We start from the raw sequence: 17,887 nt of genomic DNA, 5'->3' as shown, positions 1-17,887 counted from the left end.
GGCCTCTGCTCTCAGGAAGTCACCCTCCGTGTGGAGGACAGGTTGCAGCCATGCAGACCAGTGCTTGCAATAGTGTGATATGTGTTTTTACGGGGAAGGACAGGGGACTATGGGAGCCCAGGAGAAGCCTGACTTTGCTGAGGGAAGGAACTGTGCTCAGGGAAAGCTTCCTGGAAGAAGAGCTATTTAGCTGAGGCAGAAGGGGGAGAGCAGCAAGCCAGGAAGAAGGGTTCATGGGGAGCCAGAGTTCTGAGGTGGTCCAGCCTCATGTGGGGTGTCTGGGGGTATGGGGACATGGCCAACAAGGTCAGCAGGGCTTGGATGTGGTGGCCTTGTTGGCTTTTGAGATTCATTTTGAGAATGATGGGCATTCAGCAGATACTGAAATGGTTAGAAATGATTTGTGTTTTAAAAATATTTCTCCAGCTGCAGTTTGGAGAGTTGAACTGCAGGGGCATGAGTGGAGGTGGAGAAGCTGGGGAGAAGGTAGTACAGGAATCTGTGTGAACAATCGTGGTGGTTCTTGATAGAGGGCTGGCAAGGGATAGAGAAGGAGGCATCTTGGAGGGAAGTGGAAGGATTAGCATCCTGGCTATGGGGGTGAAGGGGCTCCAAAAGAACAGTTTACCTAAGTCCAGCAACCTATCCAATTCTTTCCTATAATACCCATGAGCCAAACACTGTTTAGGGAACCAGTGGTTCCTAACCTGGCAATTCAAGAAGCAGCCTTTTTGTGCAGAGATCTAACTGCAGGTAGTCTGGAGAGCAAGAGCACCAAGTGCCAGGAGTTCAGGCAGGCACCGAGGCTGCAGAGGCGTGCCGAGGTGATGTCACTGAGGGTCTCAATGGTCAGGCTAAGAAGGTTAGATACTTCTGTAGAGCACTGGGAGCCATAGGAGGATTTGCGGCCAGAAAATGGCATGACAGGAGGTCAGGTAAAGGGAGATGGATGGTTCTGGTCACCATGTCATGAATGGGCTGGAAGGAGTTAGCCTGGAGGCCAAGACCTGTTGAGAAAGTTACTGCTGGCCCCTGGGGTGAGATCCAATGGGCCTCTCTGGAAAGCATGGCTCCTTCGTTTGCTTGCTGTGTGACCTTAAGCAAACTACCCAACCTCTCTGTGCCTTTGGAAAACAAGGATCACAATATTTCCCATCTCATGAGGCTTAGATGAAGTAACACAGAAGTGCCTGGAGCAGAGTGAAGTGCACAACAGCTTGTATTGCCACCATGGGCACAGTGAGGGTCTTTCACCTCTTCGGACTTAGTTTCCTCATCTGTAAAATGAAGGTCACAACAATGCCTACCTCAAAGGGTTGTCTTGGATTAAATGACTTGAAGCACACAGCACACTAGAGACTGGCCAGTATCACTGCAGAATCTGTGGGGCCAGTTGCAAAACGAACGCTCGGGGCGTCTTGTTCACAAATAATTAAGAATTTCAAGACAGCAACGGCCGAGCATGAAACCAAGTACGGGTCCCTTCATGTCAGCTCGACAGGCTGACAAAGGGGAAATTCCAGGCAAGGGGAACAGCTTGTACAAAGGCTTACAAGGAGCCTGGAACAGAAAATTTGAAACAGGAATTGTCTCTGAAAATCCAAACACGTGACTGCTGTGGCCCCAGAGCATCTGCAGGATGCCTCAGGCACAGGGCCTCTGCACCCCTTCTCCATTCTCAATTTTGGGTAGGGGCTTATTTGGCTCAAAATATGTCCTTCTCTGGGCCAGAGACCTCTGCTGACTTTTCTAGGGACACATAGTCTTTTAGAGACAGGGACAGATCCCAAGCTGGTGTTCAAGTCTCTCCACCAAGGATTCTATCAACTCCCCAGATGACGAGAACAGAAATAATTTTAAAAGATTTTTTTTTTTAAATACCAAGCTGACCAGTCGTTTTTGTCACTGTCATGCTTCACGAAGTAACTACCGGGGGTGATTAGAGGAGAGTGAGTCTATAAAATGTGGCGTTTCCCCGTTAGCTTTAAAAACTTTTGCAAACATATTTGATGTGTGTTTATAGAAAAAAAATCCCCAACCCAAATTGATTGAAAAAATGTGTTGTTATTGAAAGGGCCGAGTTGAACTCTTTACAGAGCACGGCGCTCAGCAAGACTTGGAAGGCGAAGATTTCATATAAATAGTTGTGCCGAGTTGTTATGGCAACTGAAATTTGAAAAGTAAATAGGTTTTGGGGAAATATTTTTCCTTGTCTTTGGAAGGATTTTCTGTCGGGGATCATTTGCAAAAAGGAAGAGTTAATCCAATGCCCAGTGGGCTTGGTGTATGTTCTGGAGGGTCCGAAATGGGGTCCCAGTGCTGAAGATCTTGACGTCAATGGAACAAGTTCTTTGCTTTCTCTGAATAGGGATGAAGAACGGGATGGCGTGGGCTGGGTCCTGCATGCTGTGTGGCCATAGACCAATGACCTGCCCTCTCTGGGCCTCAGCTATTCTGTCTATAAAATGGTTCGATTGAAATTAATCATCATGACGTATTGTCTTGAGCACAGGCACACAGGCATCTGCTTGTGGATTTGATTCTCACAACAGCCCACTGAGGTTGGCCTGCTTGTCTCCATTGGAGAGATGAGGAAACTGAGGCCCAGGGTAGAATGGAGGCTTGCTGGAGATAACACAGGAGTGGATGATAACATCAGGGATCCACCTGAGTTTCTGGTTCAGAGGGTAGTCCCCTACTGCATTCTTGCACACTCTTGCTCATGTGTGCTGGCAGCCATCCTATGCAGTGAAATCCCGCTGGCCACCACCCCAACCCTCCATGAGAAATTAAGGCCCCAGGGGCCAGAGGCCAGAGCTAGTCACCTGCAGGAGGGCAGCCGGGCCTTGTGAGGGCTGGAGACCCTCATGGGTTGGGACAGGGCAGCTGTCACCAGGCCTCATTCTAGCATGCCAGGTTATGGAGCTCTCTATCAAAAGAGAGGCCTCTGTAGCTGCATCTGTCCCCTGCTTCTCCCCTCCCCAAGGCAGGAACACCCTGCACTAGACAGGGAGGGGCCCACGGCTTTGGAGGAGGCCATAATGAAGAATAATTACTCTCACGTGTTCTGCCTCTTCGGGGAAGAGCTGTACATGCCCAGTGGCATTTAAGCCTCATAGTGTCAGACACCAGCATATGATGTCCCTGTTTTCAGATGGGGAGACCAGGACTTGGAGGGGAACAGCCACGTACCTATGCGCTCACATCTAACAAGTGGCAAAGCTTAGACTCGAATCCAGGTCTGACTGATTCTTGAACCTGACCTCTTCCCTACCTGCTCTTTTGAAGCCAGCCAAAGCTTTAACATGGACACACTGGCCACATTCATTGCTCCTCTGGGCCTCAGAGTGGTTGGTGGTGGGTACTATGGCCCTGCTCATGGTTATGTAAACTGAGGCACAGAGAGGTGAAGAGGCTTTCTTTTAAGCCACATGGCTAGCAAGAGAGGATCCATCATCAGTTGGACAACAGTTGGGGGCCACCTGGCACTAGGGTTGGTTTTAGAAATGTAACGAGCTTCCCATCCCTGGGTGCATTCCAGCTCACAGGCTGGACTCAGAAGGAAGTTCTGTAGGGTGGAGGCTGAGCTGGGTGATTGCAAAATACCCCAAAGAGTCCTCCATGGAGGTCTGAAGAGCTGAGGTCAGATCAAAGATTCAGAGCTGGGGGACTGACCCTTGTTCTGGGCTCTTGGCTTTCCTCTACCTTTGATTGAGTCTTCAATGTGGGATCACAGAATGGAATATCTGTGGAAACCGTCCCCCAACCTGGGGCCAAAGCAACTGTATGTCCCTGCCTGAGAGCAGGCACACATGTGTGCGTGTGTGAGCACCCATGTATGCATGTGTGTGCATTCATGCTTGTGTCCATGTGTACACCTGTGTGTGCATGTGCACGCATACGTTTGCCTTCTTGTGACCATGCATGTGTATATGTGTGTCATATGCCCATCCACATGCCTGTGTGTACATGTGTGTATGCATGGCCTTGGTGCCTGGTTGTATTCGTGTGCAAATTACCCCTCTCCTACCACTTTTGTCTGCATCATTTGGACTTTCGCTGGAATCTCAGCTCACTATGGATTTAAGAACCCAGCAGCTCCCTGGGATGGGGCTGGAATGGGACCGTGAGGACACTGACCTCCGGAGTTGCCCTGGTTCAAATCCTGGTTTCACCACTTTCTGCCAGGAAGGCTGAGACTCGATCATGGTGGCCCCTAAGCCTCAGTTTCTCCCTAGTGAAATGGGTCTGTCTCAGCACATGCCTGCCTGGCAATTACAAAGGTGCGGTGATGTCTGTCTACAGGGGCCACTCTCCCCCTCTCCACACTGGGGTCTTAAAGACATTTGCTTTCACAGGCCCTGATAGAGGAAGCTCCTGACTCCCCAGCTGTAGGGAAGGCACCAGGTGCTCAGGGCACTTTCAGACACGCTCCTCAAAGCCCAGAGACATCTGGCTCCCAGGACCTCCTAGCAGAGGCCCCTGTGTGATGCCAAGCTCCCCGGGCCCATCTCCCCATTTACATGAGAGCAGCAGGGATGGGGAGAGACACCATGGATGGGAGCCCTAGCAGGGAAGGAGGAAGCAGAGGTGCCTGCGTTTATCAGGAGCACCCTATTTGAGAAAGGGTAAGCCTTGGCAAATTGAAATTCAAAATTCTTTTTGGTGGGGGAAGGCAGAAAGAAGGGAGAGACAGAGATGAAGATAGAGATACAGATATACACAAGTATATATATACATACACACATATGTCTGGCTGTCTATCTATCCATCCATCTATCTGTCAAGAGAAAGACAGAGACAGGGAAACAGGGAGAAACAGAGACAAGAGAGACAGAGAAACAGAAAGGAAATGAACATATTCTCAACAGCTCAAGGCACATTATGTTGAAAAGTGGCCTGAGCTTGGCCTCCCAGGAGCCAGCCCTGTCCCTGGCCAGAGGGTGATCTTGAAGAGACTCTCTCTTTCTTGGAACCTGGGTCCCCTCATTACCAACTCGTACTTCCCAGCACAGTCTGAAGATAAAGGGATGAGAGTGTGCTTGGCATGCTGTGAAGTGCCACCTGAATGCCTGTGGTGGCTCCTCCTTACTGGTCCTCTCTGGGACCCTTCAAAGAGAATTCTCCAGTAGGTGAGTCCTAGACTGCTTTGGGAGACCACCCTCCAAATGATAAGGGCAGCAGAGACTGAGTTTTCCACCTCAAATCTGTTTTCTTCTTCCCAGTGTTATAGTTCTCAACCTCCCTTGTAGCTCAGTGTGGCCAGGTGACTTACAATTTTGGTCAATGAGGTGCAGGCAGAGTGATATAGAACAGTGTCAAGGAAACCTCTTTGAAGCACAGTTGGTGGACACCCTTTTGCCTCTTCTTCCTTGCCTCCTTCCTCCTGTCTGGGATGTGAATGGAATGGCTGATGCTGAAGCAGCCGTGTTGTACCATGAGGAAAGAAGCTCCATCCAGAGGGTGGACTGCCTGCCTCTGGAATTCTGTGACAGGAGTGAGAAATAACCTTCTATCTTATTGAAGCCACTGATATTTAGCTTTTCTCTAAGTTAATCTGCATCCTAATGGATAAAGCAGGGAGAAGGTATTTATCTGGTTTTCCCTTCTAGAAGAAGGAAATTCAGTTGGCTTAGTGTTGGCAGATACATGGGGGAAGTCTAGATTTTCTGAAGGGGTTAGTCTGGCAGAAAAATACTATCAGTAGCAATAAGAATACTGTCATGATAATAAGGACAATAACAGCAGCCCTGAACTCTGGCAACTTTGGCACCTATCTGCCTCCCCTATTAGACTCTCCACTCATTAGGGGTGACCAGAAGCTCCTGTTTACATCTGTTTCCAGCTCAGCACCTGGCACCCTCCACAGTCCCCCAGGCAGGAGAAGCCACAACCCCGGCAGGAGGTGGGGACACAGGGAAGGCAGGCGTTCCCCCTGCACAGAGACAGAGAGACACCACAGTCTATACGGGACACCACTTGGCCTGTGGGAGAGAGGCTGAGAACAGCCTCAGCCCCTGAAAATCCTGTCTCTTTCAAGGCCTTGCTGTATTCCTTGGGTTATCTGTGGGTTTCAGAAAGAGACTGGTGTCCCTTTCTACAAAGCTCCTTCAATTCCTGTACAACACGGTGGTCAAGAGTGTGGACTCTGACCTTGGGCACAAACCCTGGCTCTGCTGCTCCTGGCCCATGACCTTGGGCAACTGACCTCTCTATGAGCTTGTTTCCTCGTTTGGCAGATGGACATGGTGCCTTATATGCAAAAGACAGCAAGCTTTCCATTTACACAGACCAGGACTTCTCAGACAGGCACACACGCCGATTGCTGGGGAATTTGTTAAATGCTAGCTCTGACACAGTAGGTCTGGGGCAGTGCCTGGGGTTCTGCATTTCAAACAAGTGCCTGGGGACACCGAGGCTCCAAGTTTGGGGACCGCATCTTGAGTAGTTGAGGCTTAGCCTAGATCAGTGGTTGGCAAACTTCAGCCCGTGGGCCTGCCATCTTCTTTTGTACATCAAGTTCTATTGGAACATGGCCACACGCTTATTTACATATTGTCTGCGACGTTTTTCGTGTTACAGTGAGAGAGTTGGGCAGTTGTGACAGAGGCCGTGTGGCATGTAAAGCTGAACATATTTACTATCTGGCCCTTTACAGCATGAGTTTGCCAACCCCTGAAGCGATGTTGAAAGAATGAAACAAGAAGACGGATTTGAGGCCACTTGGCCCAGAAAAAGGGCTGGGTTCACAGCCCTGGTCGCGGAGCTGACTCAGTAGGCATCTATGTCTTCCTCAACCAGGAAGGTCCCTTTTCTAACACTGAGCACGGGAGATGGAGGACAGGCTGGGGAAGAAGTGACAGAAATAAAAAGGTGCAAGAGAAAGTCACTCTGGAAATCCCTCCCCTTCCTGGGTCTTGCTTCACCCTCCCTGCCTCAGCCTCTGCTGGATGTGCCTGGTGAAATTGGGGGCTCTGGGTTCCCCAAGGAGTTGGCACAGCCCCTAAGGCTTCTTGCAGCCTCCCCCAGCCTCCCTGGAAACCCCTCAACCTCTGACGACGAGGCCCAGCAGTCGCCCTTGCCGTCCCTGCACATGGAAGCTCATCAGAGGAGCACCACCGGGGTGCATCCAATTCCGCCGGATCCTCATCAAAATGAGAAATCTGCGGTCTGGGCAGCCATGGAGCGCTGATAACACTCTTGCAGGTGAACCTCCTCACTTATCACTGCCGGAGTCACCTCTGTCTCAAAAGATTTGTTTTCCCTAAAAAAAAAAAATCTCTTGGATGTGTGATGGGCTTGGCTGTGATTAAAAAAAAAAGAAAAGAAAGAAAGAAAAGAAGAAGAGCTAGAGGAACATTTTATTTTTCCAGAAGCAGGAGTTCTGCACCCTTACCTTCCTGCCCCCTCCTGCGCAGGGGCTGCACATCTCACCTCCTCCCCAGCTCCTGCCTGCCAAGACCAGGAACCAGGAGGAACAGGGAAAAACGTGGAATCATTTAGATCTGGTTTTCTTTCCACATGGCAACAGTTGCCACACAAAAGAGATCCCAGCCCAGACTCAGCCTGGTTTTGTTTGGCCAACAAAGCCAGTGTTTGTTCAGGAATCAATAGCGAGGGTGATGAGATGGAACAGTGACGAGGGGTGTCCGCAAGCCCGGTCCCCTGTGCCCTGGCCCTCCTGGCCAGGCTGTCCTCTGGATCCTCTCTGCCTCTGAGCCCAGCTCGTCTCTCTTGCAGTCTTGGCTTCTGGGTCGTCTCTGTCCCCCTGGGTTTCTTTCCCTCTGTCTCCCTGTCTGTCTCTCTCCCTCTTTCTGTTTCTGTCCTTTGTCCCTGTGCATGGCCCTCTCCATCTGTCCCCTCTATACCCTTCCCCTTTCCAACTCATTCTCTCCCTCTTCCACCTGTGGGTTTCTACCTGCATATCTCTCTCTCTCTCCCTCTTTCTCCTTGTCTCTGTCCCTGTCTCTCCTGTGACATTTGTCTCTTCCTTCTGCGTCTCTGTCTTTCTCAACATTTCTGTCTTGTGTTGGTCCCTGTGTGTGTCTCCTTCAATGTGTCTCCTTCTCCCTGCTTTCTGCCCCTGCATCTCTGCCTCAACATCCCCACTCAATTAGAAGAAGCCATCTTGGCCATCAGCTTCTGGGCCCTGTACACACCAGTGTGAACTTTCTCTTCAATGTTCTGGGTCCTGGCTTGTGCACTGATGGGTCAGAGGAATGGCTTAAGGTTTCAGAGCTGCTCACATCACGACACACCTCCCCCAGCTCCTCCAAGGACTCTGCTTGAGGAAGAGGCAAGTGTGACAAATGAGACCAGAAGCCCTGGGAGTCAGCGTGGTTCCCAGGGCTGGGAGGAGAGACTCAGAGTTAAACAATGCCTGCTGCATAGCAGGCATTCCAACCTCATTCTCCAGGAGCTCACAGTCCTACAGAGTACACCCATCCCCAAATATCAACCACCCAGGCAAGGTGGCCAGGACCCTGATTGCTGAGGGCAGACCGGTTTTAAGCCAGACTTGAGCCAGAGCAGGGTTCAAATACTGTTGGTGCCACTTACTAACTGGGTAACCCTGGGCAAGTCACTTAACCTCTGAGTCTCAATGTCCTCATCGGCAAATAGAGGTAATGGCGACACCTGCCTCGTGGGTCAATGTGAGGATCAAATTATTTAAATTATGTAAGGCACTTAGAACAATGACTGGCACATAGTAGGCATTCCAGTAATATTAGCTTTTATTATTACTATGAGAATCATAAGACAAATGAACTACTATTATACTTCCTACCTGGGTTCGGGGGAAAGGATATTTTGGTTGGGGTTTTGAGGAATGAGTAGGAGTTTGTCAAGCTTACAGAGGAACTTCCTTCCAAGGTTGGTGGTACAACATGAGTCAATGTCATTTTATAGATGAGAAAATAGAAGTCCAGAGAGGGGAAGTGGACCTTAGTCATAATTACAAATCCCAAAGAAGAGTGTGGCAAACCTATAGGTTTATGTCAATGGTCACTCTGATCCTGGCCCTGCGACCTCAGGAACAAAAGGGTTAATGGATTGTTTCATTCTTGTGGGAACACAATGGTCTCTGCTTCTCTTGCTTCTATTCAATGTGTCCCTGTTCCCTAAGCTGTGAGCACAGAGTCAGCCATCCCAAAGACTGGGATAAGGATGGACCTGGAGTTGCAGGGACAGCCAGCCACTGGCAAATCTACACAGCCCTTTCTCCAACTGAAGCATTCTTGGCCCGAAAGCAGCTTGCAGATGCTGGAAGAAATGAGGAAAATGTTCCTCGGATCAGCTGATTGGTATTTAGATCTCTCCAGATCCAAAAGTCGCAGCCTCTTGGCAGCCCAAGTGACTCCGAGATGCTGCCAGTTTGCTTGGTCTTTGAGGCTTCTTGGAAGAGTTGGTAGTTTTCTATTTTCTTTCTTTCTTTTTTTGCTTTCTTTTTTCAGTCTTTGAGGCTGCTTGGAGAAAGCTGGTAGCTTCCTATATTCTTTTTACGTTTTTTAAAAAATCTTCTGTTCTTTCCTTTCCATTATTTCCATGCAATGAGGAAAGCTCAGGTAGTAGGAAATGGCTTTTTCGTTCTCTTTCAGCGTAGGGTACCCTCTTCAACCCTTGAGGTCTGTCCACACTCCCTTATGTCAGAGAGACTCTGTGGCGTTGAGAAAGACCACACTGCCTGGGTTCAGATCCTTAGTAATGATTGTGGCAGGCAGGTTCTGATGTGGCTGTCAATGGTCCCACGTGCTGGTATTCACATCATGGTATTCCCTCCCTTTAACTGTGAGCTGGACCTGGTGACTTCCTCCTAAAGAATAGAATACTGCATAAGTGCTGACATGTTAATTCCGAGATTAAGCTAAAAAAGACCATGAATTCCTTCTTGTTCTCTCTGTCTCTGCCTCTGTCTCTCTCTCTCTGTCACCTGCACACTTGGAAGAAGGAAGCTGCTACATTGGAGATGCCTGTGTGACCAGGAACTGTCCCAGTTCCTGCAGGACCCTCAGTCCTACAATCTGCAAGAAATCGAATTCTGCCAGCAAGCAAGTGAGTGAGTTTAAGTCATGTCCTGTTCCAGCCAAGCCTATTAGGATGATACTGCAGCCCCAGACCTTAATGGTAGACTCTGAGAGACCCTAAAACAGAGGAGCCAGGTAAACCTCGATGGCTGACCTACAGAAATCATGAGATACCCGTGCTGTTGTTTCAAGCATCTCTGCTTTGAGGTAATTTGTTACTTGGCATAGATAGTGAATACAGTGACCTTGGGGGAAGTGAGTTCTACCTCCCCATCTGTAAAGTGGGTGCAATGATGTCTGAAAAGTCAGCAGGAAATAGGTGCGGGGTCTGGTGCCCAGGAAGAGTTCAACACAAGAATATTTTATGTCTTAGTTAACAAATATTTCCTAGACCAACCCTGGGTCCTGTGTCAGGTGCTGGGGGCTTGGGGGATGACACAACAATGGTAGCCCTGCCCACATGGACTCAAAGTCCAGTGCAAGGGAGTCATGCAAAATTAAGTAGGAAGTTTCATGAGTTCCTGAGAGCAAATGCCAGGGAGACCTGGCCAAGGCAGGAAGGGCTTCCAGAACAAATGGTTTACATGGAAACTGAAAACGATAAGCTGCTTTTAAATGGCTGGAGAGCCAGCCATAAGCCAGTCCTGCACCCAGGATGTGTGCTGTCTAAATATGGGCTTCCCTAAAACAGACCCCAAGACAGGGATGTGAAGGCAAGTGGCATTTTAGGGGGATAATCCAGGAAGCACTGGTGGGGAAGGAAGGGAGTGAGACAGAGAAGGGAAAGAGCCTATCCAGGGTGCACTAATGAGCAGGTTATCACGTTGAGCAGCTGGAACTCAATCCCACTGGGGAAGTCTGAGAACCAGTGTAAAACACACACCTCAGTTATCTACCCAGGGAGCGAGGGAGCTGAGATATTTATCCTCCAACTCCTGTCCATCACTGGAAGGGTGCTTTTGGAGCATTAACTCCTGGTGCTTCTGACCTTGCCCTCATGCACATCATCTGAGCAAAAGTGCTGGTAGGGAGTTGCAGGTGCTTGCTGTCATGTGCATTCAGCATGCACTGGGATGGTAAGTTTGGGGTATATGCCCACAGAGGCACTGTTTGCATCTGTACCACGTGCAAATCCACAGCAGGGTGAGATGAACAGAACCTCTACTCTGACAATGATAAGCTTTAGCATGATTCCTCCCTGCAGGCTCAGCCCTTCCCAGAGTCCCCACGCCACCTTGGACAGGCATTAAAGGTCATTCCTCAGCTCCTTCCCACAGCCTGACCTTGGCCTCCAATCCTCTCAGAGCCTTGGTCTGACCACAGGACTCTTGTTTACTACCAGAGCTTGTCCCTATTTTGCCCCCCATCCCCATCACTGATGGTTATCTTGGTTACCTGCCTGATGCCTCTTACACTGGGCCCCACATGACACCCCTGGAAATCCCCTCCAGAGTGTTTTCAACCAGATCCAGGATCCTGAACTTCAAAGTATCATCCAGATTCATATCCTGTCATCACCAGGATACATTATCCAAGTACCCTTAGGAGCCTCTCACCTCTCTGAGCCTCCCTGTTTACCCAGAACTGAGGATGGTGAGAGGACCAACGAGCTCATTCCCTTCTAGAATCAATCTTTAACACCAAACTGTGCAGCACTTCATGGATGCCATAGGTACAGCATGGACCAGAGTAGAAATGGGCACTGCCTCATGGAGCTCAGGTCCAGTGGGATGATGGTGAATGGGTCCAGAAAGCTGTGAGCACCAGAGACAGAGTCCACTCCAGCTTGCTGAAGCACACAGGGAACTTGCTGAGGCTGGTCACTGGGAAAGACCCCTGGGAGTGGCCCCACGGAACTACAGGAAAAGCTGCAGACCCAGGCTCCCCACAGTCTCTGCTTATCTGTTCCCCATCACTGCTCATCTCCACTTGGCATCCCTCTGCAGACCAGCTCACTCCAGGTGGTGGGAGCTCCAGGTTGTGGGATCTCCAGGTGGTGGGATGGTGGCTGCTCAGGCTTCCAACATCACATTCTTTCAGCTCAGCACCCTGTCTGAGTCTTCCATGGCTGTATAACTAACCACCCCAAAGTGGAGTGTCTTAAACTACACCGTTTATTTTGTTCATAAATCTGCAATTGGGCAGAACCCAGTGGGACAGCTTGTGTCAGCTCCATGTGACATCAGCTTCAGGGACTCAAAGGCTGGGGGGTTGGAATCACCAAAAGCTCATTTATTCACATGTCTGACAGTTCATGCTGCCTATTGGATGGAATCTCAGAGGGCGCTATCAGCTGGAACACTGAACATTGGCCTTCCCACGTGGCTGGAGCTTCCTTACAACATGGCGACGAGTTCCAACAGTGAGCGTGCTGAGGCAGAGCCCGGTGAAAGCTTCACTGCCTTTTGTAACCTAGCCTTAGAGCTCATGCAGAGTCCCTTCCACCACCCTGCCTCTATTCACTGAGGCAGTCACAAAGACTGTCCATATTCAAGGGGTAGGGGACTGGATTCCACCGTTTGTAGGGAGCAGTGCCAAAGAATTTGCGGACATGTTTCAAAACATACAGCCCCTGCTCTGTGGACACTGATTATCCTTGTTCTGGTCCCATGTATACTCTGTGGGCTACTCCTTTTTACTGGGGGATGGGAGGTTGGGATTTTTCAGTCCTGAGTCAAACCTCCCTTCCTGGGGCCAGTGTGAATATATGGGGAGAAGGCTGAGACTGTGAACTCACAGCCAGACCAGAACTGTGTACAATGAGAGACTGAGGTTTCTCCAAACAAGGGACGGCAGGCAGACAAAAACATATGTCCTTTCTGAATAATAAATAAATAAACACACAAGTACATAATGATCCACGGTGAAAAGTGCTCTGTTGGCAAAAGACAGGATGCTTGTAAGAGTGACTCAGGTGGGGTGGGCAGTGGAGATGGAGCCTTGGACTGAGTAATCAGGGACTATCTTCAGAGGAGGTGATTTATACCGAGGCTTGAAGAGTGAGAAGGGATCAGCCGGGGGAAAGACTGGGCTTCAGGCAGAGTTTAACCCACGCAGAGGCCCTGAGATGTGAAAGCGTGGCATATTCAAAGACTTAAGTGGCCACGTGGCTGGAGCAGCCTGAAGAAATTGGGGCATGGCAGAGATGAGGCTTGACCACACAGTGTCTTGAAGGCCATGATAAGAGTTGGGATTTAAGCCTGTGAGCAAAAAGCAAGACCCAATTTAAGTTTACACGTATTGTACCCCAAATGCCTGGCATGGAGTTATTTTACATGTGCACATTTTTAAAATCTGTTAGTTCTTTTCCCCACTATTTTTTTTTTTTGAGATGGAGTCTCGCTCTGTCGCCAGACTGTTGTGCAGTGGCGCAGTCTCCACTCACTGCAACCTCCGCCTCTGGGGTTCAAGCAATTCTTCTGCCTCAGCCTCCCCAGTAGCTGGGACCACCGGCGCGCACCACCATGCCCAGCTAATTTTTTTTTGTATTTTTAGTAGAGACAGGGTTTCACCATGTTGGCCTGGATGCTCTCGATCTCCTGACTTCATGATCTGCCCACCTCAGCCTCCCAAAGTATTGGGATTACAGGTGTGAGCCACCGCACTCAGCCCCTTTCCCCATTTTTTTGGGTCCTTCATCCTTCCAAAATCACTACCAGCTTGGTGATCTTTGCCCCCATCTGGTACACCCCCTTAATCTTTCCCTCAACTGCCTTTTACCCCAGCTTCCTGCAGCTGCTCTGCCCACTCTGTTGGGGCAAATATCGCCAGCTTCAACTCCCTGCTCCATCCACCATAAGCCACCAGGGCATGCCCCGTTGAGCCTGAGACATGCGTGATGTCAACAAATGGCAGCGTGAAGGTGACATTTTCTTCACCCAGCCACCACCTGTGCTGCCAGCCCATCCATCGCTCCTCAGTGCACCCAATCCATCCAATTTAAATAAACAAATCCCCCAAACAGGGCCCAGTAATGGAAACGCTGACAGACCCTTATCTACGGCATCTCTGGGTGTACACAGGTCTATAATGATTTGGGCCTCACTGAGGCGGAGGAGTTATTGCAATTGTGCCACACCTATGACAGTTTAATCAGATCTTGAAAATCAGGGGCATTACATCGTGCACCTGCTCATGAGGACAAAAAGGGAAAAAAATGGCTGGTAGAGTTTTCTATCATGGGCTCTTTTTTTTTCCTTTTTTAATACCCAAGTAGGACTTTCAGAGTACATAATTCATTGCATGTGTGTGGGGGAGGGTAGGCAGCGGGGGATGTGGGAAGTAGAATTACACTGAGTGGTGACTAGAGAAGAATGAGGGAAGATGTCCACAAAGGGGCTTATTTTGTCTACACAGGCTATATCTTGAAGGATGTGACCATGTCTGGGCAGTGGAGAAAAACAGACCTGGGTTCAAGACCTGCATCCTTCTCTCCTTTTCTTTCCTTCCCTCCCTTCTTCCTATGAATATTAGTTAACTTCCAACTTTATCTCTGGCCCACTGCTAGGCACCAGGAGGCTATAATAACCCAAGTGTGTCCAGGTTCTGCCCTCCAGGAGTCAGAATATATGATTAGTGAGAAACAGCTGGCTCACAGAGTATCTTAGTTTTCACCTCCTCAAAAGCAGGAGACCGGGGACAAGGATCTCAGATATGCAAAAGACTTGGGGGCAGGGAGTGTATTTGGAAGTGTTCCCAGGTAGCAGGACTGGGGAGCAGGGGGAGAGACAGGAAAGAGAAGAAAATTCCAGTGAAAGGCATGCTGTTGATCTGGTCATCACTGTGGGTAACTGGGGCTTAACACTGCTAGAGACCTTCTGAGGAACAGTGTAGAATGGGCCACAGCTTTGAAAACCCTGAGGCAGGAAAGCAGGGAGACACCCACTTACGGGACGCTGGCCACATGCAAGGTCATGTCCACCACTGATGGGCTGGAATCAGTGGGTCAAGAGGGTGTGGCTGGTGGCACCATGGACAGCTCCCACATTGGTACAGTGGGGAGCCGGGGTCAGCTGGGTGATCAAGGTGGCCTTCCTGGAGGAAGTTGAAACTGAGAAGGAGTTAAATGGGGTGGGATGTGGAGGAAAGAGCATTCTAGGAAGGGGGAATAGTGTATGCAAATAAGGTTCAGAGGCAGAAGGAGTGTGGTGCTTTTGAGGACTGACAGGGCCCAGGTGGTTAGAACAAAGAGAATGAGGTGTAAAGAAACAGCACATGGGACAGGAGGGGGCTGAACCCAACTCAGACCATGTGGGACTCAAGGCCTCTGGTGGAGAGGGAGTCATCAAAGAACCAGGGACAAGGACATCAGATATGCAACTTTAAAAGCTCATCCTGGCTTCTGTGTAGAGAATGGGTGTGCATGGCAGGTGGGGCGAGGATGCACAGAGCAGAGACCATGCTGCTAAGGTTGTCCAGGTGGGAGATGAGGCTGGGCTGGCACCATCAACTCTCTGTATCACCTGGATCAAGTGACATCCCTCGCCAGATCTTGGTTTCCTCACTGCCCAATTGAGTTCATGGTCAACCCTGCCCTCCGCGTTCCCCAGAGCTGTTACGAGAAGAAAGATGGTTGCATCTGCAGTGGTGGCTAACACAGAGACTTATGTATGGCGGGCACTTGGAAACCCTTTATTTCTTCCTTCCTTCTCCTCTGTTTCTGCCTTCTGACTTCAGAGGTCTGCCCTGCTGAGGCCAAGTGAGGAAATGGGCCTCATGCATGTATTATTGATTTATTTATTGGGGGCAATAGAAAGAGGAATGTTACCTGGCCTTGGCCTCAGGACAGTTCCCTCTCTGCAGGATGAGATGTAGTTGTCTGCCCAGTGACACTGTGCAAACTGTTGAGTCCTCTGCATAGAAGAAAGAGCTGAAGACATCTGTGCCGGACATGGTATACTCCAGACTCTCCTATGTCAGGCTGTTATGCAAAGTGGACTTTTCAGGCTCTCTCCCTCATCATGACACCCCCACTGAGATCTTGTCTCAAGTTTTTTCTTAATTAGGCTTTTGAGTCGGAAACTGAAGGCAGGCTTTGCCAGAGAAGCCCTGGGGTTAAGCAGCTTTTACTTGCAACGGAAAACACCCCAGGGGTTAGAAGTACATAGTCGTTCACACTTTGGTGTGAATTGGGTTGAAAGACTGGGCATGTGCTAAATGCTAAGGGCAAGTGGCCAGGTTAGTGAGTCCTGATGGGCCTCATGAGCTGGGCCACCTTCCTGCTAGTCCCTGCTAGGCTGGGGGGCAGAGAGGATGGGAGCACCAGAGATCACATTCCTTTCTTCTCTCTGGCAATCTCTGTTCCAATTTGTCTAATTGACGAGTTATGAGTCCCTAAGGCCTTGCCATTTTGGGGTGCCAAATGGTATTTTTATGATACCCAGAACATAGCAGGCACCAAATAAACACCAAAAAATAATGGCTGGCTGGGTGGATGAACAGATGAATGTACAGATGAACGAATGGGTATTGATTAAGTGAAGGAGCCAGTGTTTGGATAAGCAGCTGCACCTGAGCATCACTGAGCAGGCTCTGGTGAAGCCTATTTGGGCTGGTGGTTTGCATCCTGGAACTCAGGGCTGGCTGTTTGTGTTTGAAGACTGTTTCCAAAGAGGGCTCCCCAACCCCAGATTCTGTAGAACACCTCATTTTGCCTCTGAAGTGGCTGGGAGAATCCCAGTCAGATGGTCCTCTACTCCAGGCTACTGGGTTTTAAGTGGCGGTGACATCTACGTTCAGGACCTGTGTCCTCAGGCACAGGGGATATCACAGGAACATCCTGTCCTGTGAGGTAGCAGGTATGATGTGAAAAACAAGCAAGAAACTAGGCTTATTTACTTAACAAATTTTTTAGAGACAGTCTCTGTCACCCAGGCTGGATTGCAGTCATGCAAGCATAGCTCGCTGCAGCCTCAAATTCCTGGGCTCAAGCAATCCTCCCACGTCAACCTCCTGAGTAGCTGGGATTATAGGCATGCAGCATCACTCCCAGCTAATTTTTTAAAAATGTATGGAGATGGAGGTCTCACTTTGTTGTCCAGGCTAGTCTCAAACTCCTGGCTTCAAGTGATCCTCCTGCCTTGGCCTCCCAAAGTGCTGGAATTACAGGTGTCAGCCACCATGTCTGGCCCTTATTCACTCTCATGCCATCTGTAGAATCCCGCAGAGCAGTGCCAGGCTCTGAAGATATTGTTTGGAGGGATCTGGAGGGAAGATGCAGAAGTTCTCTGCCACCAGCAAATCTTGGGGATTTTATTTGTTATTTTGCTGTTTCTTTGTTTGATGTCCTTTCTAACCATTCACCCACTCACATATTTAGTTTTTACTTACCCATCATCTAGCCATCTATTTATCCAACCGTTCATCTACTCATTCTCCTAACTCCTCCCTCAACTACCCATCTACTCACCCATCCACCACTCATTCACCAGCCTATCCATCTACCCATCCATCCATCTACCCACTCACCTACCCATCCATCCATCCATCCATCCATCCATCCATCCATCCATCCATCCACTTATTTATCCGTGCATCCACACATCTATCCTTTCGCTCATCCATCCATCCCTCCATCCACCCATCCATCCATCTATCCATCCACCCACCCAGCTATCTACCGGAAACACTCATCCACCCATTTATTTATCTACATATCCATCCATCCACCCATCCATTCACTCCTCATCCATCCATCCATCCATTCATCCACTCACCCACCCACCCAGCCATCTACTCATCCATCCATCCATCCATCCATCCACCCATTTATCTACTGGTCGTCCATCCATCCATCCATCCATCCATCCATCCACTTATTTACCCATCCATCTGCTTACTTATCCATCCACCCAGCCACTCAT

At 49.5% G+C, this 17,887-nt stretch overlaps 1 annotated feature.

Moving 5' to 3' along the window:
* Window positions 7,872-8,646: an enhancer, noted in NCBI's record as "OCT4-NANOG-H3K27ac-H3K4me1 hESC enhancer chr22:27857322-27858096 (GRCh37/hg19 assembly coordinates)". NCBI's record gives its function as "activates a minimal SCP1, AML or CMV promoter by ChIP-STARR-seq in primed H9 embryonic stem cells {active_cell/tissue: H9 hESC(primed)}" and the evidence as "EXISTENCE:reporter gene assay evidence [ECO:0000049][PMID:30033119]".

Source organism: Homo sapiens, chromosome 22, assembly GCF_000001405.40.
Source record: "Homo sapiens chromosome 22, GRCh38.p14 Primary Assembly".
Lineage (NCBI taxonomy): Eukaryota > Metazoa > Chordata > Mammalia > Primates > Hominidae > Homo > Homo sapiens.
This window is presented reverse-complemented; position numbering and strand designations above follow the sequence as displayed.